Source organism: Homo sapiens, chromosome 7, assembly GCF_000001405.40.
Source record: "Homo sapiens chromosome 7, GRCh38.p14 Primary Assembly".
NCBI lineage: Eukaryota > Metazoa > Chordata > Mammalia > Primates > Hominidae > Homo > Homo sapiens.
In genome coordinates, this window is record NC_000007.14 from 51,695,607 (window position 1) to 51,720,790 (window position 25,184).

General features: G+C 37.3%; 1 long non-coding RNA gene and 1 pseudogene across 1 annotated transcript; both read left to right on the forward strand.

Annotated features, from left to right (window-relative positions):
• The first annotated feature begins 12,365 nt into the window (after positions 1 to 12,365).
• On the forward strand, positions 12,366 to 22,062 carry LOC105375278 (uncharacterized). Its single transcript, XR_001745209.1, has 6 exons — positions 12,366 to 12,481; positions 13,690 to 13,795; positions 14,747 to 14,804; positions 15,366 to 15,454; positions 17,578 to 17,668; positions 22,034 to 22,062. It is a non-coding gene; the product is annotated as an uncharacterized LOC105375278 (long non-coding RNA).
• On the forward strand, positions 21,051 to 21,316 carry RN7SL292P (RNA, 7SL, cytoplasmic 292, pseudogene; annotated as a pseudogene).
• Positions 22,063 to 25,184: the final 3,122 nt, after the last annotated feature.

The following is a 25,184-nucleotide window of genomic DNA, read 5'->3' on the forward strand; positions in this document are numbered from 1 at the left end:
AAATCATTCTCCCCAAATTGCCTTAGTATTCCTCTGTAGAACAACTTGACTCCAAATCATGAAGGTCAAGACGTCAGACTCCATGAATTAATAGCCATCTCCCATATTTGAGATACTATCATCGGCATAATAGAGTACTGAGAAAGAAATCAAATCTGGATGGGTTATTTTTTGACAAGTTGCTAGGTTCCTAATCAGATTTTAGCTTCTTTTAAATGTTGTTGGTACAGGAACTTGTTTGCACATTAATTTCCTCTAGAACATCTATTCAAAGGCCAGTCACTTAGGAAGTTTTCTTCAGCAGGTCTAGTCATGCTAGAGGGATACATTTGACAAACACAAAAAATCCATTTCATTCATGTGAAATTTCTTGCTGGGGGCAAAACTACTGTTAATGAATGTGAGAATCAGAACAAGAACAATAGAATTTGGTATGTGTGCCTTCAATCATGTATGAGGGGGAAACCAGGATTGTGATTAGTGTGTTTTTATAACATTATTCACTTAAAAATATGATATTATAAGTAAAAGATATATGGTGCATAACAACAGATGATATGCATAGCATATCTCTTTTATTTTTCTAGGAAACAGCATTGTCTAACAACCAAAGGCAGTTGTGGCAGAAGCTTTGTCACAAGCTCGGTGGTTACTATTTCCCTTTCAGAAACAGATCCTGGCTTCATCTAGCAATTTCTCAGGATCAAGCATAGAGGAAAATGATCTCAACCCATAAATGCCTATTAAACTCAGGGAGTCAGAGCAACAGACAAAAAGTTCATGCACACTGGATTTTCTTGCTAAGTTTATGTACTTTCTCCCTAATTAATTCAGACTTTTTTTTTTTTGCTACCTACCAAATATACAAAACACTCCTGACCACCAAACAGAGAGGGAGTCGTGTAGATGGTTAAATGTAAGCCTGCTCAGGTAAAATCAATTAGCACTAATTATCAGAATCTTTCATTTTTTAAACCCACCTTATCATTGAGGTGTTTAAAGGTCTGAGAACTGCAGATGAGTGACTGCTTGTCATGGTTCTGGGAGGTAAGTGGTCAATTAGTAAGCCGGCGTTCGGCCTCCATGGGCAAGGATGCGGTGACCTTTCCTTCAGGGTGATTTTCCATCTCTCTCTGACTCTGCAAAAATACATTCTCTCCCGGTGCCTTGAATTGCATGCTTAAAGTCTGTTATTTCTGATTCTGTTTGCAGTCTTACCCTTTTCTGAGTGAAGGAAGGTCAAGAGATTTTGGCCTTTTTTGCCCTAGAGGGTAAAGGTGAAGGAAGAGGGAGTGTGAAAAGTTGTCAGGGAGCTAGAAAGCAGGGAGGAATCAGCCTCTGTGAAATGGTACTTAAAATGCCACAGCATTAGGATTCGTATGTATGACTCCCTGAGTCCACTTTGATGAAGATGAAAATACTATTGATTTTGATTTTTTTCTCTCTATTTTTTTCTGGGATGCAGCAGTTTAATGATAATGATAACTCATTAATTGATGATAATTTAATACATTAAATAGCTATTTTATATCAAAATAAAAATGGAAAGATCAGTCATCTTTTTGTCATATAAACAGAAACTGATGATAATATCTCAAACAGACTGAAACCTTAAAAAAACTTTCTCAGTCAACGATTGGGTCTGTTCTTTCTCCTCCCCAGAAGTCAGGTTGTGAGGATGCAGCGATGGAACAGGTCAGTGCTCTGTCCCTCTGTCTCTCTTGCTCTGAGCAGACATTTGATATCTGTTTATTGAAATAATTGGTGAACTTTTGCAAATGGGAACAAGTCCTGGGGTCACTTTCCAGCTACTTATATGGTTGTACTCTTCTACAGTATATAATTATCTCAGCAGCTAATGAAAGCTGTGGCTCTTCTTGCATAAAAACATATATACAAAATATCTGGGGTCTCAAGGGCCCCTTGAAGTTCATCCATGAACTGCAGCATAAGAACCCTGGTTGCAGAGTAAGTCCCTGAGAGTGAACAGCAGACACTGTGTAGACCTACTTCACTCTGACTGAAAGGCATATGTGAGCTATGGCATTGATATGTTTCATTCTTCCCCAAGTCTCCACACTGATAACAATATCAGCACCTTTTCTGCTTTACTGAATATCTGACCAGAGACTTCTGGGATATACAATGGGTGTAAATAATGGCAGTATATTACTTCAAGTTACCCTGTCCTAATTTTTCCCTGCCAAGCGAAGTTGCTGTGCAGGAGCCAGCATCCCCTGGTAATTTCTTGAATTCTAAGCCTCTGCCATCAGGCTAATCTTTATATGATTCTGATTGGATATGAACATTTCTCCACTTGTTTTGTTCACAAATACTTATAAGCACCCAATGCATCCCATTCTGTATACTAAGTACAGGGGATAAAAAAAGTGACCATAAGAGACACCTTACACAATTTTCCCTAACCTTAAGGGAAAATTGACATCTGTAATGACCACTGGTTTGGGATTTGTAGAGCCGGAAAATAATTATCTTACAATTTACTGATTAATGGTCCACCCTAACTTTGTGAATACAGCTCATTAGGAGGAATTCTTACTTTATCATGACAAGCACCCCCACTGTGTTGCCTGGTCTTGAAGGCTGCAGGCATCATTCTAATTTTACTGTATTAGACATTCCACCAGATTCTGTGAGTACATGCCTTATACATAGTAGCACTCTGAAGTATATGTGCTGATTGATCAAAGATAAATAATTTTTCCACTGGCATTTTCATTTGATCTGGCATCTCAGCCCAATGGTTAGTTTCTAAATTTAGATTCTATATTCTTAGATGAATTGAGTGCATGAGTAGAGGAAATGGAACTGGCTTAGGAATAAGATCTGGTTTTGACGTTAGTGTAGCAGTCTTACCTCCGACCAGAGTCAATTGACTGTAAAGATGCTCAGAAACGCTAACTCAGGAAAATATTTTTGGGTGTTATTAAACATAGTTTTAGACATTTTATTGAAATCAAGGAGCTTCCAGTTTCTGCTGCTACATGGAAGGTGCTTGGAAGTCATCAGTTCCAAGGAAAAAAACTGAATAAAGAGAAAGTCAGCAACTTGACCTAGATCTATCAGATAATTAAGGTCACAGGGCAAACTCCTACTCTGCAAACTGGAGAGACAGGCAGATAGATACAGAAAATCACAGCATGGAGACAAGAGAAGGAGCAGAAGCAGTCGCTGAAGCTTGAATCTGTAGAATCATTTTAAGACTGATGAGTTGGTAGGGAATGCCTGTAGACGAGGTTGGGAGTTCATTTGGAAGGGACCCAGTCTTAGTGGCCACCCACTTTCGTGAGTTTATCTACAGGATCCTTACCAGGTCCTCACAGTGAATATCTGAAAAAAATGCCCTGGAGCTCCAGGTAGAGAGAGGGGAAAATAAACTATTTTAAAATACACCTAGATTTTCTGTTGTCTTCAATAAGGCCTCCCCTCACTGGAAATTATTTAAAATGAGACTAACCTACTATGTTTTACCAAAGCCTAATTGCCTGGAGAAAGATAAACACGCAACTCCTGCCATGTCCAGCTTTTGACACAGGGGATGGTAATTCAAACTCACTAAAAAGACTGAGACCTAATAGAGGACCCTAGAATGCGAGTCCCCTCCCACCACACATTGCCACCACATCACCGCTCTCATGAACAGTAACACTTGATTACAAGTAAATGAGCTGCAGCCTCAGGTCCCACTTAAAATGTCTCTAGGGACGCTCAAAGATGATATGGTAACAAAAACAAAGGCCCTAAGGAGATTTTAGCCTATAAAAACACAGCTACAGCAATCAGTAAATGCAGCCTAACTCCTAGCCAGATTACCATCAAAACACACACTAAAGCCTTGTCTACCTCATTTCCTACTTCCCAGAATGTCATATACAGCTTTCAACAAAAAATTACATGGAATTCTCAAAGCAGGTAGAAAGCATAGAACAGAGACAAACCAAGCATCAGTTTTGCCAAACTCAAATATGGCAGAGTCTTTGGAATGATCAGTCCAGGAATATAAAATAACTATGATTCATATTCTAAGGATTCTAAAGGGAAAAAAGGACAACATGCAAAAAGAACCAGGAAAGGAATCAGTGAGCTTAAAGGTATGTCAATAGAAACTTGAACATCTCTTCAGAAACAATGCAAACAAGAAGAGAGGGGACTACAATATTTGTAGTGTTAAGAAAAAAAAAGTGCCAAACCCATCAACCTAGAATTCTGTATCCAGAATAATTATCTTTTAAAAGTGAAGGAGAAATAAAGACATTCTCACACAAGGAAAAATTAAGGGAGTTTCTCACCAACAGATTGTCCCTGCAAAAAAAAAAAATGTTAAAAGAAGTTCTTCAGAGGAAAAGAAAATGGTGTAGGTCACAAACTCAGATATACATAAAGAAAAAAAGGGTTAGAGAAGAAATAAATGGAGGTAAAAGAAAATCTTGTAGTTTCCTTATTCTTAATTGATCTGACAGATAACAGTTTATCCAAAATAATAATAGCAACAATATTGGCAACCATAATGTGGATAAGTAAAATGAATTACAGCAATGTTACAAAGGATAGGAGAGAGGAGTTGAGAATACTTTGTTCTAATATACTTGCGCTACTTGTAAAGTGGAATAGTATTATTTGAAAGTAGATTTGGATTGGTCATAAATATATATTGCAAACTCTAGGTCTACCAGTAAGAAAATTTTAAAAAGAAGTATAATTTATATGCTAAGGAGAGAAAATGGAATCCTTTAAAGTGATGGCTCAATTAAAACCAGAAAAGACAGAAAAAGAATGGAAGACCCCCCAACTACCCCCTTAAAAAGAAAAAAGAACAAGCCAGTGTATAAAACCCAGTTACATGTATAGAAGATATTAATCTATTTCAACACTTTATATTAGAATCTTTTAAAAAATATATTAATCTATATCAACTGTAAAAGGTCAATAATCTAAATGTGCCGATTAAAAGACAGAGACTGCCACAAAGGATTAAAAAATAAGATTCATCTGTATGTTGTCTGAAGAAATATACTCTAAATGTAATGACATAAATAGACTAAATATAAAGAGAAGGAGAAAGGTATGATGCTAACACTAATCAAAAGAAAGATGCAATAGGTATATTAATTTCAGTTAAAGCAGATGGCAGAGCAGATAAGATTATCAGGGATAAATAAGGGCATTACGTAATAATAAAGGGTGTCATTTTTCCAGTAAGACATAACAAATCTGTCGAATAACAGAGTATCAGTTTACATAGAGGATAACTGACAGGATTGCGTGGAGAAATAGACAAATTCACTATTACAGTTGGAAACCACAACACCCCCATCTGCAATTGACAAATCTAATGGAAAATCAGTAAGGACATAGCTGAACTGATCACTATCATAAACCAACTGGACCTAACTGACATTTATAGACTAATTCATCAAGCAACAACAGAAGACACATACTTCTCAAGCTTATGTAAAACATTCAGATAGACCACATTCTGGGCCATAAAACAAACCCAAACAAAATTTAAAAGAACAGAAATCATACAAAGAGAACACTCAGACTTTAATAGTACTAAAGCAGAAATCAGTAACAAAAAGATAGATTGAAAAATCTGAAAATCCTGGAAGATAAGAAAACACACTTCTAAATAACATATGGATCAAATAAATCTCGAGAAATTTTGAAATGTTTTGAACTAAATGAAAATACAACCTATTAGAATTCATGGAATGCAGTGAAAACAGTACTTAGAGAGAAATTTATTGAAATGAATACCTAAATTAGAGAAGAAGAAAGATCTAAAATCAATAATCTAAATTTCCACCTTAGGAAGCTAGAAAAAAAGAGAGTAAATTATATCCAAAGTAAGAAGAACATAAATAATAAAAATCAGAGCAGAAATAAATGGAATTAAAAACAGAAACACAATAGAGAAAATCAACAAAGCTAAAAGCTGGTTTTCTGAAAATATCAACACAATTGATAAAATCCTAGCCAGGGTGACCAAGAAAAAAGAGAGAAAATATAGATTACTAGTATCTAAATAGGCTATATATATTAAATAGATTAAATTAAAAAATTATAAGCCTTTCAAAACAAAGCACCAGGTCCAGATGTTTTTATTGTGGAAGTCTACCAAACATTTACGAAAGAATTGATACTAATTCTCTACGAAAAATAAATAAATAAAGCAGACAGAAAACTTTCTAACTCATTCTATGAGGCTGGAATTACCCTAATACCAACACTAGACAAAGACATTACAAGAAAGAAAAACTACAGACTAATATCTCTCATAAACCCACATGCAAAAATTTTTTAACATTTTGTTTCAAGAATGTATACAGAGAGCTATACACCATGAATAAGTGAGATTTGTTCCAGGTATGCAAGGTTGGTTCAGTGTTCAAAAATCAATTATTGTAATTTATCACATCAATAGACCATAGAAGAAAAACTATATGATGGTGAGAAACTAGGTAATTCCTTCCTAAGAGTGGGAACAAGGCAAGGACATCGTCTCTCACCACTCATATTCAACATCATATTGAAAATTGTAGCTAATGCAATAAGACAAGAAAATGATAAGACAAGAAAGATAAGTAGATAAATTAAATAAAAATCAAAGTTTGCAAAACTTTCCTATGGCACAATAAAATTATCAAGTACACATAAAATATTTTTTAAAATACACACATACAGAAACTGTAAAGATTTTTCAACGTCCTCATTTTTTATCATATTTATGTTTAGATAAATTATTTTTTTCTCAAAAATTTACCAAAGGGACATCTTTGAATATTTTCTCAAAAATAATTAGAAAGCTACTGAGGTGTGTATGTGGGTATGTGTTTAATAGGTTTAATAATTAATATTTAATTAAATACTTTAATAGGTTTAATTTCCTTTAAATAAAAGAGGTCTTTCTATAACTCCAAATATTTACAAAACACTTAAAATTTATTAGTCAGACGATTTTGGCATTATTCAAGTTGCTTTTGACTGAACACAACAGAAACCATTTGAGCTTGCTTAAGCAAGGGAAGGAAGCTTACTGCAGATCAGAACGCACATTCAGTGAAACAGCTGAAACTCGGGAATGGAACCTAGCACACAAGAGAAGTTCAGCATCCCTGCATTGCTAGTGTCTCATCTGATTCCTACTTTATTTTATTGTATTTTTTGCTCTGCAGACCCCCTTTTGATTTTTTTTACTTCATGTGTGAAATAGGGATTCCCCCACTTTCAGTTCCTGAATTTACACAATATACACATTACTAGTCTAGTCACATGCAGAAACCAATTAACTATGTTATGAATCTCAATTCAATGGACTACCAGAAGAAATACAAATGGCCACTATAAACATGAATAGTGCTCAATATCATTCTTCATGAAGGAAATGCAATTAGATACCACTTTATAGCCACTAAAGTGACTAAAATGATGAAGACCGATAACACTTAATGTTGGTGAATATGTCCAGCACTTGCAACTTGAATATAATGCTCATGAGAATATAGAATTACTTTGGAAAGTTGATGAGCTGCTTTGGTCAATGAAGTGTTTTTAAAAAACATAACAATCCAACTCTAGATATTTTCTGAAGAAAAGTGATGACATTTGTCTACATAAAGATGCATTTAAGCATGTTCATAGCACTCTCTGTTTTCTTTTTGCATAGTAGCCTCAAACTGTATACAATCTAGATACCTGCTGATGGGAGCATAAAGAAGCTATGGTTTGCTCATTCCACAGAACGTTGCTCAGCAGCATGCAGGAATGACTACCAACATGTACAGCAATGTCAACAAATCTCAGAAATATTATGCTGAATTAAAAAGCCAGACAAGAAAGAATCAGCATTATTTTATTTATGTGAAGGCCTAGAACAAGCAAACCTAATCTGTGCTGATAAAAATCATAGAGGTGGTTGTGGATGGCAGGAGGTTGACTGGAAAAAGGCACAAGGAAGTTTTATGAAAAGATGGAAATGTTTTATATGTTGACTTGCATCTTAACTACACAGGTAATGCATTTGTGAAACTTATCAATGTTTAATAGCTGTGCATTTTGCTGTATATAAATGATATTTTGATAAATAAAAGTAAGCAACATACTGTTGAACCATATTAAATTGCTTGTTTTTAGCTACTTTTAGCTACAAAAATGGCAATTTTATATGGTCCAACCTACTAATAACTTTTGTCTCTGAGAAAAATGTGAAAATTGTTTTTGAGGCTTTTTGTACAACTGCTTTAGAGCAGATGGGAGAATAAGAGGTAACCTGGGAAAAGAATAAACTATGTACAAGGAGCATGTCCTAGGAAGGTCTATTGTCCCTTCCTTACTGGTGTGTGCACATGTGTATGCATGCATGCATGTGTAATAGCACATGCATTTATGTGTGTACATTGCATGTGTGGTGTGGTGGAGGGCACCAAATAGGCCTTTCCACAAGAGACAGGTGTTGAGCTTGTGACAGATTGGACAATGTATCTGCATTAACTGGCTTTATTTACATGGCATTTTGCTCAGTCAATTTATGGCATTCTTCTGAGCACCTGGATCTGGTTGTTCTGTGTAAAAATGGTTTTCATTCTGAAAATCACAAAACCCACTTTTGCTTGGAATATGGTTTTCTACTGGCTGAGATTTATTTTAATGCTGAAAAGCCGGACCCAATTTATTGTGAGTTTTCAGCAAATCCTTCTCAGATTGCCAGGAATCCCACTGTTTGAATGCACATGTGGAAAAATATTGAGACTGAGCTGTTGAAATGTGTTGGATTATTGAGAAACTGAAAATAGTAAATAGTTAATTGAGTAGAAAATAGGTTTGGCAAGGCTTTATGAGCTAGAGAGAAAAGTTGATAGACTGGACCCTGGAACCACACATATGAGAGAATTTATATTGTTGAAACTCAACTCAATGGCCTGTAACTGCTGTGGGTCAGTTGTGAGTGTGGCCAGAGCCTTGGGAAGACATTCTGAGCACATGGGCTCAAATGACCACTGAAGATCCTGCATGAACAATCCTTTCTCTACCTGTGACCGCCACCCATTTTTGCTGATTGAAAATTAACCCATAATAGCATAACCTCATAGTGCTATGTCAGTTGGTCATGTTGTCCTGTCTGTGTTCAACTGTGAGGAAGTCTTCTTCCGGGCAACACAACAGAGATTCCTATTCTGAAATATAGTTGAATGCTTTATAGCTTTAGATAATTTTGGATTATAAAACCTGTTAGAAGTCCTTTATGGAAAAAAGAAAGCTGTACACAATGAAACAATGAAAAATTAAGAAGGAAATAGTAAACCACTTTCCAATGAAACATATGAGTAATAACAATAGCTAACAATTTTATAACAATGATAATTGGCTAGGGAAAGTTCTAAGCACTTTAGATACATAAAATCATGTAATCAGAAATTCTAGTAATATTGGTACTAATATTATCTTCTTTTTACAGCATATAGACTGAGTCACCAAGAATTTTAAGGACTTGTCCAAGATAGCACAATTACTCAGTGGCAAACACAGGAAGTTTGGCTTTATATGAGCCTCTTTTGATTATTCTATAGCAATTTCAGCATAGCTCTGTAAATTGCTGAACTGGAGTTTGATTTATATTCACATGATAATACACTGACTGAAATACATATGTATGGACATGTGCACATACAAGTAGTTCCACATATGCATGCACAGGCATCCACATGGTCACACACATACACAACTTCTTAAGGGTCAAAGTTTCACAAGAGAAAGGGCAGCAATGCTGGAGTCAGATCTGAGACTGAATCCTGGTCCTACCTTTTCCAGCTGTGCGCATCACTTAAACTCTACCCCTCAGTGTTTCTCATATGGAATATGAGTTTAATGATGATTTCCTTGAAGGATTAAGGAGCCGAAGCTGGAGCTAGTCATTAAAAACCCTGGTATTTTTTATTATTTTGTTCTTAATATCTTATTAAGAACAATTTTCTTTTGTTGGTGACTAAGAAAGAATTGTTCTCTAGACATGGCTTATTAGAGTTGGGGCCTCCATTCTGATTTTTCTCCCCAAATTATCCTGTTTCTGTCTTTGCCCTTTTCTCTGCTAGGCTACTAGATGTATGTGTGGCTGTGTCTCAGACCTCAGAATTTGAAATCTCTCTTCAATTTCCTGCTGTTACCTGCTTGAGTTTCATTTATAAAGAGTGGGGTCAGCAAGAAAATGGACTTATTAACCACATTCTCTGGTGCTGTACCAATTCTCCTTAAGGCTTCCCAGCATGGCCTGGCTTGTCCTCAGAGTCCGGTGGTTCAACGGGGAGGGGGAGGGAGCTGGGGAGGCTGTGGCAAAAACTAGGTCAACCTCAAAACAAAAACTCTCACAGAAACCTTTGCTTGAGCATCTAAAATCTCTAGTTTTAATACTGAATTCCACAGTTTCTTGGGTCCTGTTATGGAAATTAGGCACATCTTTTCGGGTATTTTACATTTTGGTACTATCATTGGAAAACAAAGCAAAGCAAAGCTAGACACAAAAGCCCCCTTTTCCCTCATTGCTTCTGATAATTGCATTGTTATTTTGAAACTAGAGAGTGACATTTGATTTCCTGTTAACTGTTTTTCTGCAATGTTTTGGAATTTTACCTTTTGAACAAGGTTGTGGCCTGGAACAAAATTTGGCCTGTGAGTAGCCCTAAAATAACAGGTGGCTCTAAGTATTTCAAAACCAAGGTTCCTAATCACAATCGTCTTCTTTATGTTTATACTATTTCTACAGCATAGATCTTGTTACATTGAATGTAGAGAGGCACAAAAAATCTCATAAGCCTTCCATGATTTCTCCTTGCTGAGTTAATAATTTCTTTCTCTATTTCTAGAGCTTATTTGTATTAAATCCTTTATTATGGTCTGCCTGTGTCAGAGCTATCTATCCATTTATTCGTTTTTCTACCTGTCCATATATCTGTACTATCTATCTATCTATCTATCTATCTATCTATCTATCTATCTACCTACCTACCTACCTGTCTATCTATCCATACATCTATCAATACACCTGTTTATCCACCTGTCTATCTAGCTGTCTGTCATCATCTATCTGTCACATTCCTATTTGTTCTACTAATGTGTGGTTTTCTGGGAGAGCAGGGGGCAGAGCACATGCCTTCTTCTTCTTTTCTTTTTTTTTTTAATTAGGTCTCACGGATACCAGCTCAATGTTTTACAAACAGTAGTGCTTTAAAATACTTGTTCTTTTGGGTGCTTTGATTCAAAATAAACACATGTAAAAAACAATAATTTAGACTTTCACTGAATACTTTTGTCTTTTGTACCTGTCCTTTCCATCTCTTATCTCTGACAACAGAAGACCTTCTTACATACCACTTTCAGTACTATAGTGCAAAGAGATCATCCAAAAAAATCAGTGGGAGGCGATGAGTTGGCAAAGTGCCAGCTTGATAGTGTGAGGTGAAACATAGCTCTAAAATTTCAATATATCTTGGTTAGAACAATGAAAATTGTTATGCCCAAGACATTTCAGGAAGGAAGGAATATGGCTGTAAAAACAAGACCAAAAATTGTTACATTTATGAATTTCAGTGCCAATTGTGTTTGTTGATATAATAAACACATTTAAAAAAATATTTTACTTTACTTTAAGTTCTGGGATACATGTGCAGGTTTGTTACATAGATATACGTGTGCCATGGTGGTTTGTTGCACCTATCAACCCATCATCTAGGTTTTAAGCCCCGCATGCACTAGGTATTTGTCCTAATGCTCTCCCTCCCCTTTCCCTCCAGCCCCTGACAGGCCCTGGTGCGTGATGCTCCCCTCCCAGTGTCCCTGTGTTCTCATTCTTCAACTCCCACTTATGAGTGAGAACATGCAGTGTTTGATTTTCTGTTCCTGTGTTAATTTGCTGAGGATGATGGCTTCCAGCTTCATCCGTGTCCCTGAATAAGCACATTTTTATTTTCTGTGTTCTTAAAGGAAGCATTATATCTGAACAAATCAGCATTGGTACAAGATGGAAGGCTTTTCTTTGGAAGAGCAACATTCAATTGCAGTGGCTTTGAATGCCTCTTTTTTTTTTTTTTTTTTTTTTTTTTGACAGTCTCTGTCGCCCAGGCTGGAGTTCAGTGGCACGATCTCAGCTCACTGTAACCTCTGCCTCCCGGGTCAAGCAATTCTCCTTCCTCAGACTCCTGAGTAGCTGGGATTACAGGCGTGCACCACCACGCCTGGCTAATTTTTTTGTATTTTTAGTAGAGACGGGGTTTCACCATGTTGGTCAGGCTGGAGCCACGGCGCCCGGCCTGAATGCCATTTTTGCCTGATTGCCTTGATTTCAGATCATCGCTTGCTGCCACACTTGAGGCATCTGCATATGAATCTCACATGTAGTTGAGAAATCATGGATGTGGCAACTGTGAGTGTTTGAAGAAGTGAAGCATTGCTGTACTCACAAAATGCCATGGTGAGGCATTTGACTTTCTGATTTATAGTTACAGTAATGAGGATTCCAAGTGTGATTTTCTGAGCCAGGTTTGAGGCCATCTTCTCATTCATTTTTGTTGACAGTCACCAATCGTTAGCCTGGTGCTTGTCTGCCACCTACTAGATAAATATTTGTTGAATATAACAGAATTAAAGCAATGGGCATTGATGTGCCAGACCTAATACTAGATGCCAGAAAGTAGAGAGATAAGTTTGTTGTTAAATGCAAATGACAGTGCTACCTAATAGGTACACAGAATCAAGCAGAGACATTCTCCGTGAATTTTGAATGTTAAAGAGGAATAATCTCTGGGGAATGGGAAAGGACTTTTCACCGTATTAGCAAGCATGGGCAGAGACATCACTGTGTGGAGGAGCAGGGCATTTCAGGGAGGAGGGAGAATTTTAGCCATTGGTTATAGCATGGTGTAGGGATTGTGGCCACATGGAAAAGAGGTATAATCTAGTGGCCAAATTGTGTTTCTGTTCCAGGTTTGGGTTTTTCTCCTGAAAGTGACAAGGATCAATTGAAGCATGGCCATGCAGAAACATGGGCTGGGATGCTTTCTCTCTAGATCAAGCTTGTCCAACCCATGGACTGTAGGCCTCATGTGGCCCAGGACAGCTCTGAATGTGGCCCAACACAAATTCATAAACTTTCTTAAAACATTATGAGGTGTTTTTTTGCAATTTTTTTTTTTTTAGCTCATCAGCTGTCATTAGTATTAGTGTATTTTATTTGTGGCCCAAGACAATTCTTCTTCCAAGGTGGCCCAGGGAAGCCGAAAGATTGGACACTCCTGCTCTAGATGGTGAAAAGATTACCCAGGGCTGGAACAAAGAGAAGGTTGTCTCTATGGGACTTCCAGTTCTCTGCTGTCAGAACAGATGCATCTGTGGTGCCACAGTGTGTCTCTCACTTTTTCAACCCATAGGCAGTAGCCAGCAGCTTCTACCACAAGTTACAGTGAGACAGAATCAATGGGAGGAAATTTTTTTTCCAAGTGTTTATTATAAAATGTTTCAAAACTGCAGAAAAGTTGAAGAAATAATAAAACAAACACCCATTTACTTACCATCTAGCTTCAACAATTATTAAAATTTTGCTGTATATGCTTTATTTTCTTTGTGTATGTAAATTACCTGGACTGTAATTTATTTTTTTCTTGTATCTCCTTTATTTTCCAGAAACTTGAAATTAAACCTAAAGACCTTATTAGACTCAAATCACATATTTTTGGCAAGAAAATTGTATTGTTCATGCTATCAATTGCCTTTTGTGTTATATGAGAAGGTAGGTGATAATAAATTATCCTTTGGACTTACTTGTTTCTTGGAGCATTTCTTTGATTTCTGGTCCAAAATATCCAAAGTTTATCTTGTAATTCTCTTGCTTGATTCCTGTTAGTAAGGAATATTATTTAGAAGCCAAGATCTGAATTGATTGATATTGGGATGACATTGCTTCCACGTTCATTGTATGGAGCTAGGAAATATGTGTATGTATATATATATATATGATATATATACAAATACATATATATAATTTATGTGAGAAAAATAATATATACATATTCATATTTCCAATTAAAATTTAACCAAGTAGTATATTTTGTGGAATTTCTTTGATATTGTCTCCTTCTTACACTGAAAAATCTGGGTATTTCACAAATTGCCATTTTTACATAATCATCACAATATGCATATTTTAAAAATTATAATATTAATGCTACTATTAAAATCACCAAAAGAGGCTTTGCTTTCTTTGCACGTTTCCTTGTATCCTGAATAGATCCCTCTAAGAATGTATACATATGCAGTCAGAGCATTCTGTTACACAACAGCTTGAAATAATTATTTTCTATGTGATTATATTACCAAGTTCATAGATGTAGACTCATTTGTTTCAGTTCTTTTTTTAATTTTTTAGTTTTCTTTTTTCCGTTTTGATCTAAAGTGATTTTTTGATCACATAAAATATTGCATTCAAAACAAGGTACACTCAGACACTCAGAGAAGTTTCATTCCCATCCCTTTACCCTCCACCCCACTTTGACTCCCATGCTATTTCCTTCTTCATTTACCCAGAATTTCTTTTTGCAAAAATACATCACTAGGTGTATTTGTACTTTTATTTCTACTACAACACTGAAAGGATTCAATAATCACTGCTGTGCACTTTAAAATACAGTCTGGGACTATCTCTATTTCAATACATAGAAATTTTGCTCATTTTTTCTTACAGCTGAGTGATATGTCATTGTGTGAATATACCACATATACAAGCAGTTCCTTAACTAAAGGTATTTGAGTTGTTTCCTGTCTTCTGCTTTGTAAACTGTGACACAGAACATGACCTTGTTCATATAATGCTTCATATTTACAGAATATACCATCTGGGTAGATTCCTAGAAGGTGGATTTCTGGTTCAAAGTGTTTCTGTGGTGTGTTTGTGTGTGTGTGTGTGTGTGTGTGTGAGAGAGAGAGAGAGAGAGGGAGAGAGAGGGAGAGAGAGGGAGAGATTTTTATAGATACTGCCAAAATATACTCTATAAGACTTATTATATTATACAATATATGACTATGCCTGTTTCATCATAGCTTCATCATGAGTTTTGTCAAACATCAGGAAGTTTTACTGATTTGATGAATGAGAATTGGATCTAAATCTAATTTTCACATGTATTTTTCTTATATTTATTAGGAGTAAATTTGATACCTTCTGAACTTGTTTCTTGTATATAGATTTGCTGATTATTAATCTACAGTGGGTAAACATTTAAGAAACTGAGCAGATGGCTGCAAAACATCTAACTGGAGCTTTTGAAAATCTCATGGTTCTAAAAGGCAAAATTATGTTTCAGGACCAACTCAGGGAAGAAGTTCATTGGTACAAACCCCACACCATGGGACCCCTGGAGGACTATACCTTAGAAGCAGGGATGAAAGAGAGGTAGGTTGAGCCTTTAAAAGTCTGAAAACTGACCTCAGGCCAAGGCACCCCTGATGGGATTAAGGTGATCTGTTCTAACCCCAGTAACTTGCCTAAAACAAAAAGTAGAGGTAATGCCCAGTCATCACCAGTGTGCAATACATTCATGTAACACAACTGTACCTGTACCCCTTAAGTCTATAAAAATAAAAATAAGTAAAAAAAGAATAGCTAACATTTTGTCCTTTATGTTTATGAGGCTTATCATCTGGCAAAGGAGTCATTAAAGTAATAAAAAAAACCCCAGCAACACAATGTTTTAGAGTTTATAATTGAAGACAGCATTGATCCTAGGATAGCACAGGGACACTGATTAAGGTCCATCCTGGAGGAAGGGGTTTTCTTCATTGACTCTTATGGGAGATGATATTTGAGATAAATGATAAGACATGGAAGAAAGTCACTGGGTAAATGAGGGATTTCTGTGTGCTTGTGCTGCAGGAAGACAGAGAAGAGATTGACAAAGGCAGCTAGGTGTGAAATTGTGGATTAGGACAATGGCAAGAATTTCAGTGTCTTGAAGCTTGCTCAGCACATGGGCAAGTATGAGGACATGAAGTGGGACAGGAATTAAGTATTTTTCTTTACCTTGAATGATTTTAAGGAAGATAGGCATAAGTTAGTGTACTTTAGAAATGTGACTCTGGCCACTGTATAAGGGTTATGAGTCAGCTAATAAAGAGGTAGTTTCAGTTGTGAATATAAACTACAGTGGGAGACAGAATTGTGGACACCCAAGAATTAAAGAAGCCTTAGTTTTTATCTCACTTATCTTCATAACGACAGTAGGGGTATTAACTATTAGAGATTCAAATACTAGGTTATAAGGTTAGATATGTTTAGGTATATAATAAAAGCAGCTTTATTTGTTCCGTATTTAGTTTCAAAATACTTTGAATCCCTTTCCACTAGTACGGGTGATGTAATTTCAGTTAATTGGGTAAAGTCTGGTAACGGCTCATTCCTGGCATCTGCCGCAGCCTTTCAGCTGAGGGCATTAGGTTCTAGGCAGTTGTTCCTTCTTGGGGCATAGGGACGTTGTCTCTCTTTTCTAAGCTGAAATCCTTTGCAGCATTCTCACTCCTTGTCAGTCCCTGGCAGGTTTGCAGGGGTCACATCCAGACCTTTGTGTCTCATGCCTGGACCTCAAGTTTTAAAACTTCAAAGCCAGTATTTGTCTGTTTTATTCAGTTCTTTACCATCCATTTTGGAAAAGCATTTCCTGGAAGCAATGGATGCCTCACGGTCTAGTTCCCAAGTTGGCATTACTACAGGGTAACAGGAAATACTGCAGGAAAACATGTCAGTTGATATTCCAGAATTTTAAATTGACACATTTATGTCTCCATATTTACATGTGAAGAGTCAACACTTAACGAGATGACTGTCAGCAGTCAAAGATGTGAGGAAGGACTGAGAGGACAGATTTGATGTTTAGATTTCACATCAGAATATATGTGGTTGGGGGAAGAGGTATTTGACTTGAATAAGAAGCTAATGTGAACAGAAAGCCAGGTTGCAAAAAATACATAAACAAGTAATTCAACCAAATTGCCTTTCAGAATCAAAATGGAGGGGTGAGGAACTGTGTAAGTTGATAATTATGTTGCTATGGTTCCTTTTCCTGATTGGAACAATGCTATTGAAGAGTTGGTTATTTTAAGCTGACATCTGGTAACATTTAATTTATTGGGAAAAGAACTTGGTTTGCATTCAGATGTATATTTTAAAATCATAACTTCTATTGCATTTTGGTGTAGGTATGCAAATCAAAATTAGAAATTAGTTGTTTACTGTGTTAGACTTCTTGAAAGTAAATACATGTACTTTTCAAGAAAACAATGCTGGGTATTTGGCATATTTGAGAAGATTATCCCAGAGGTAGTAATGGAAACATCATCAGGTTGGGAGTGGGACAGAACTATGGCCATGTAATGTTTCCACTGCCTACTAAGCATGCAGCCAAGACTAAGCTAATTAAACTCCTTGAACCTTACTTTTCTAATTTATGGAGCAGTATAACATTCTTTTACATGCAATAGGATGTGCAATATTCTGACGAGACTCTGTTTCCATTATCCTAGACTGCCATTCCCGTGGTTACAGCTATTGAAATGACACCCATAGAAAACAGAAGAAAATAATTAGCTTCCACTCATTTCCAAACCCAGTACTGTGAGTTAAAAATTAACCACAAAGCATAAATGTATTTTTGTATGATACATCCTAAAGAATATTTAAAGGCATTCTGAGTTTGCTATTAAATTTATCTTGTGGTGGAAAAATCTTTCTTTCCCACACACAGTGGCTTGCATTACTTTGTTAAATGTACACTTATTGAACCCTTTCTTGGAACATTGAAAGCTACACTTATTGAACCCTTACAGGGCACATTGCAAATCTTGGGGGAATGGCACTTCAAGTGACATTGTGCCAAGTAGGAGATATTATAAGACATAAGAGCAGTGCCATGCCAAGCCAAATAGGAGTCTGAGACAAAAAGAAAATCAATAATACTGAGCCAGGCTTTATTTAAAATTTTTTTATATTTTGTTTATTATGATGACTGGTTTTATGGGCCATCTTAACTTAACTTAACTGGGCCACAAAGTGCCCAGGTATTTGTCTAAATACTATTCTGGGTGCTTCTCTGGGGGTGTTTTGGGATGAGATTAACGTTTAAATTAGTAGACTAAGTACAGAAGATTGCTCTCTCTAATGTGGGTGCGCTTCATCCAATTGCTTGAAAGCCTGAGTAGTACAAAAAGACTGACCTTCCCCAAGTGAGAGGACATTCCTCTTGCCTAATAGCCTCAGATTGGAACATCAGCACTTTTCCTGCCTTCAGATCTGAACTAAAACATTGGTTATCCGTGGGTAGTTAGCCTGCCAGCCTTTAGACTAGAACTTACACCATCAGATGTCTTGGTCTTCGGGCCTTTGGACACAGGCTGGAGCTACACCATAGCTCTCCGAGGTCTCCAGCTTGCAGGCAGACCCACCCCACAGAACCTGGGACTTTTCAGCCTCCATAATCATCTGCCAGTTTTTCATAATAACTCTTTTCTTTCTTTCTCTCTGAAACTCTAATACATTCATATTGGATTTTTACATTGATATTTTTTTTTGAATATTACATTAAAATATTATATCTCTTGATAACTAAGATTTTTAGTGCTTCTTTAGATTGTGCATCAATGTGAGTGTCTAACTCATAGATCTGTGCATCAAATGTGAGTATCTAACTCACCTTACCCAGACCTGGACTTGCATAGGAGATAGTAAAGCACAACTCCCCATCAAATTGCCTCTTGAGAAACGCAGAAGCTTTCCTCACCTTCTTTCTGCCTCCATTCTTTACAATTCTACACATCATGTTTGCCAAATCCATTCTGTCTCTTTCACTATTGCCAATGGCTCTAAACCTCACTCTTATTATTGCAATAGTTTCCTGTTTTGCTTATTTTTTCTCCAGCCATTAATCCCTCAATCCGTTCTTTACACACTTTTAAGGGGTTATCTTTTAAAAACACAATTCTGATTTCATCAATACTCTCTTTAAAATGCCTTTTTTTTAACTCACCATTTCCAGTCTTCTTAGCACTGTACTTAGCTATGTTTCCAACTTTGTTTTATGCCTTTTGCTCTTGATAATACCCAGTTAGCTCAAATGACACCACAGTGCTTACCAAGATTAAACAGGCAATGCCCTTTAACTGTGTTAGCTATGTTCATGTGCAGCTTCTCCTGCCAGGCTCTGATGAACTCTACTTATTTTTCACCATGATGCATAATTGCTATCATCTCAACTTTGATTTTTACTCCCCCTACAATGAAAAGTTTTATCTCTTCTCCTCTGTATTTCATAGTACTTATCATTATCTTGAAAATAATAGTAATCTTTACCCTGGAATTTTAATTATATGCTTAGAAATTCATCTCCCCCAACAAGCTGTTGGGGAGGGAAAGACGTTGCTGTCCTTATCCATGAATCTTTTACACATATCTCAGTGCCTAGCCTAGATGAGTCTGGTTGTTGAGCAAAGAAGTACCATACAGTAGAAAGTCATAAGTGTTATGAAAGAGGATGGCTTTACAGGTATCAGATGATGAGAGAAATAAGTGGAATAATGGGGAAAAATCCCTAGAAATTATAATTCTCCAGGAGCTTGGTATCTAAAATTTGGTATGTCTGGCACCAAATGACAGTGATATATTGGAGACTCTATAGCCAAGAATCTTATACATGTTAAAACAAGAAATAAGAGATCCACACCATTTATTTTGAATGCAATTAATATATATATAAATCCAAATTTCTATTTAAATTGGAAGATATAAAAAGCAATGTTTAAAAGTATGAGAAACTAAAAAACTTAGCTATTTGGCAAAGAATTCTAACTTCTTAATTTTGTATATATTGTACTTTGCCCCAAGAAACTAAAATCTCTGGAGCTCTATTCATCTAAACACTGGTCTTGCTTTATTAGTGAATAGTCTCACCATCACTCCATTCTATCCCTCCACAATTTTTCTACCAGAATCTGTGTTGGTTACCCTAAAATATTTTGCATATACTGACTGCCTCCAGCCAGTAACTTATTTCTGCCTGTGTGAGTTGTTTTCAATAATGGATCCTTAGTTCTTATAATCTGGGTATGGATTATTTTCCACAACTCTCCCCATGGCTTTATTTTAGACAGGGAGCCTCCAGGAATACATCTTTTCCTATGATTCTAAACTTCAATCAAGATAAATGCAACATCACTGGTTTGTGTCACCTGACATTGGTCCCAGGTTTAGTCTTATTTGTCAACCACTGAGTAATTTGCTCACAGATTCTGGCTAAGAAATCTGCATCTAGCTAGAGTCTATTCACCTAAAGTTTCCATTATTTTTAAAGAAATCAAATATTTTGCATACCATATCTGTCATTTCTTGAAAAAGAAAAGTGAAAACTGATCCAGATTCTTCTTCAATAGGGATCTTAATTACTGTAAGTATTTGAAAACATCACTTTTCTGGCCTTCTTGAGCTCTGAAGTTCAGTGATCATATAATCTCCATAGTCAACACTGTGCATATTCATTTAAAGTATGTGCTTTTATGCAAGTACCTCAGATATATGTTTTCAGTACTGTGAATACTGAAGAGGCAAAAAGCAGTTTATTTTATGCCTATCCTTTCACTCTCTAGGATAACACTTTTTATTTATATAGTTTTTAGTTTTTAAATACTAGGTAAGGATGAATAATTATCTCCAAATTACAGATGAGGTTAAGAAACCTATACTCTAGGTCACACAGAAGAGAAGAGACAGAACCATAATTCCAGCTTAGAGTCTATGATTGCAAGTACAACATTCCTTGTAAAATACTATTGTATAATCTTTCCCCTCAATGAGACAGAAAATTTGAGGTTTAAAAAATTAATTAAAATTATTGACTTTGAATATTTGTTGATTGCAATCACCAAAGATTTTTCTACTACAAACGTTCACTTTTTAAAAAGTAAATTATAAGTTAAGATTCTCTTTTTAAAAAAAATCCCAGAACACCCCCGGGGCAGTGGTGGGTGCACATAGTCCAGTGGGAGGATTGCTTGAGCCCAGGAGTTCTGGGCTGTCATGCACTGTGACCATGAGGTGTCCACACTAAGTTCCACATCAATACAGTGACCTCCTGGGAGTGAGGGACCAACAGGTTGTCTAAGGAGGAGTGAAGCAGCCCAGGTCAGAAATGGAGCATGTCAAAACTTTCATGCTGATCAGTAGAGGAATTGTACCTGTGAATAGCCACACTGCAGCCTGGGCAACATAGCAAGAGAGTCTCTTTAAAAAAATCCAGAACAGAGAACATATTATCTTGCCAATTTAATTTTTTTTTTCTTAGAGACAGGGTCTCACTCTGTTGTCCAGACTGGAGTTCTGTGGCATTAATGTGGCTCACTGCAACCTCGAACTCCTGGCTTCAAGCAATCCTCCTGTCTCAGCTTCCCAAGTAGCTAAGAGTACAGGTGTGTGCCCCATGCCCAGATAATTAAAAAAAAAAAAAACATTTTGTAGAGATAGGGTTTTGCTATGTTGCCCAGGTGGGTCTTGAACTCTTGGCCTTAAGCAGTCATCCCACCTTGATCTTCCAAGTCATTGGGATTGCAGGCATGAGCCACTGTGCCCAGCCTAATCTTTGTGCAAAGATGTTAGGGGGCAGAGGGCTGGCAATCTCCTGGGGATGACATGCAGAAAGTCAAACACCACTGTGATGGTTAATACTGAGTGTCAACTTGATTGGATTGAAGGATACAAAGTATTGATCCTGAGTGTGTCTGTGAGGGTGTTGCCAAAAGAAATTAACATTTGAGTCAGTGGGCGGGGGAAGGCAGATCCACCCTTAATCTGGTGGGCACAATCTAATCAGCTGCCAGCGAATATAAAGCAGGTAGAAAAACGTGAAAAGGAAAGAGGGGCCTAGCCTCCTAACTTACATCTTTCTCCCATGCTGGATGCTTCCTGCCCTCAAACATCGGACTCCACATTCTTCAGTTCTGGGACTCAGACTGGCTCTTCTTGCTCCTCTGCTTGCAGACAGCCTGTTGTGGAACCTTGTGATCAGGTGAGTTAATACTTAATAAACTCCCCTTTATCTATATCTATATCTGCATCTATATTTATATCTATATCTATATCTATATCTATCTGTATCTCTATCTGTATCCTATTAGTTCTGTCCCTCTAGAGAACCCTGATTAGTATTAGTCACCACCCTTGGGCACAGAGGCCATCTGGCCAGTTTGAGTGGTCCTGACAAAGGGCACCTCTTCCCCTGCAGGACTCAGCATTGGAGCCCTGCCTGAGGGGGAGGGAAAAGGTACCTCTCCATTTCCTTCCATATTATGACTCTCAAGTTCCAGCAGCCTTTCTTGTGGACACTCCTGCCACACTGGTCTTTTCTCTGGGAAGCTGTGCCTGACATTCTCAATGAGGTCCTGATTCCTGCATAAAAACCCAGCGAACAACTGCGGGAGGTGACTCTCCACCAATAGTATTTGCTAACATCACCTGCCAATTCTGCATCTCAATGCTCAGAGACGATTCCTAAAACTGTGGAAGCCATGGTGATGGGCGTGTCTTGCTTATTTTCCTCCGTCACTCACCTTCTACTGGTTGGCTCTAATAATATTTAGCAGCTACTCAACAGTCCAAATTCCAATTCAAAAAAGAAACTCACTACCTTACCATGGCAATCAACAATAAACATTTCCAATATTAGCATCATCCATGATCATCTATGAGTATTTGCTGACTGCTTACTACGTGATAGTTTCTGCTAAGAAAAACACACTAAAGCTTGATGCTAAGATCCAGAATCAAAGGTTTTGTTAGAATGGAAATATATTCCACAATAACTGTGCTTCCAGGTGGCCTATACTCCTCATCATAGATACAGTTAAGATTCTTGCAGTTCCCACCCTTTTCATAGAAGTAGGTGTTTCTAATAAGCGACTGTTACAGCTATTATATGCTGAAGTCATGCAGGAAAATTACCCAGGTCTATATTTCCTCCTGAGCACATGTCATAAGATTGTTGAGCTAGCCCCAAACATGCAGTATCTGCGGAGGTTAATAGAATATTTTCTCTATAAAATTGAGGTCATAGCTCTTGCCTCTCACAAGCTTTGTTTTCTTGTGCAAAACTGTCATGACTTGCAGATGTGTACTACTAAAAATAATAATTATAGACAAGTAATGGTCATTATTTTACATAAAATTAATGATTTAATGCAAGTGAATATAGAAGAAACATTTTAGTAGGAGATTTGTGTTCCAGAGATGATGTAAACCTTCTGGCTTCTGTGGGCCATCTTGGGTAAGTCACCGGGCTTCTCTCAGCCACTTTTTTCATATTCAGATCTTTACTGTCTATTCGCTCATAATTCTCAAATATGTATCTCAAACCAAGACATTTCTGAGAATGAGACTAAGTGTTTTTTTCAGGTTGGGCTGGAAAATCCATTTCTCACGGTTCCAAAGGCTGGGAAGCCAGGGTCAAGGTCCTGCAGATCCAGTGTCTGGCGAAGCCCTTCTTCCGGGTTTGGAAATGGCTGCCTTCTCCTTCTATCCTCACACGGCAGAGAGAGAAAGAGACTGTGAGAAACAGAGGAAGTACTCCAGGGAGTTCTGCAATGTCTTCTAAAAGGATGCTAATCACATCATGGGGGCTCCATCTTTGTGACCTAATCACTTCCCAAAGGCCCCACATCCTAATACCGTCACATGGGAAGTGAGGGTTTCAACATGTGAATTTGTGAGGGGACACAAACATTCAGTCCATGGCACTAACATACCCAACACCAGAATCTGAGTGGAGAGTTTCATCTGGGTGATATCCCTTCAGTTTGTGTAAAGCCCTGAACTCCACCTCGTCTTTCTCAGCTGCTTTTCCTGTTTTCTCTGCCATGGTGATGCTGCTGCCTTCCACTCAAGTTATGAGAAGACAGGGTCCCACAGTTTACCATCTGCTTCTGTCACCCGTCTTGAGTTGGTCACAAATTCCTACTGATGATACCACACAAAGGACTCCTGGGCATGTCGTCTCCTCTCTTGAAAACATAGGGTCTTAGTCCAGGTCTTCATTTATGCATTCGTCCAACATTTCCTGTTTTACTTTCTTTCATGGTGTTCTCCATGGTGGTGATTAAATAAGCTTCCTAAAATACAGAAAAAATAATGTCATTATTTGCTTAAAAACTCCCCATTTCTTCTCCATTGCTCATTTTTTAAATAACACATTTTTGTTATTGTGGCAGGATACGCATAACAAAATGACCATTCTGAGTGCACAGTTCTGGGGTACTGAGTCCATTCACATGGTTGTGCAACCATCACCACCACTCATCTCTAGAATGCTTTCCATCCTTCAAAACCGAAACTTCGTACTCATTAAACAATTCCCCACTTCTCTCTCCCCTCAGAACCTGGCAACCACCATTTAACTTTTTGTCTCTGTGAGTTTGACTATTCTGGATATCTCATATAAGTGGAGTCACACGTTGTCTTTTTGTGACTGGTTTATTTCACTTGGTTTAATGTCTTAAGGTTCATCCCTGTTGTGGCACATTGCTGTGATTTGAATGGGTCACCTTGAAAATCCAGGTGTTATCAATGTGGTACTATTAAGAGGTGGGGGTTTTAGGTGGTGATTAGATCAAGAGAGCTCTTCCATCATGAGTGAGATTAGGTGCCCTTATAAAAGGACTTCATGAAGGAGTTTGTCCCCCTTTTGCCCTTCTTCCTTTTGCCATGTAAGAACACAGTGCTCCTCCCTTCTGGAGGCTGCAGCAATAAGGCCTCCTCTTGGAAGTAGAGAGCCACCCTGAACCAGATGCTGAATCTGCTGGCATCTTGATCTTGGACTTATAGCTCCCAGAACTATAAGAAATAAATTTCTGTTCATTAATAATTACCAGTTTTTGGTATTTTGTCATAGCAGCGCAAGCAGACCAAGACACATATATAAGGATTTCTTCCTTTTGATGGGTGAATAATATTCCATTGTATGTGTAGAGTACATTTCAATTATTCTATCATCCATAGGTGGACCTGAGAGGTTGCTTCCATATTTTGACTATTGCAAATAATGCTGCTATGAACATGAGTATACAGATATTTGGGTCCGTGCTTTCATTCCTCTTGG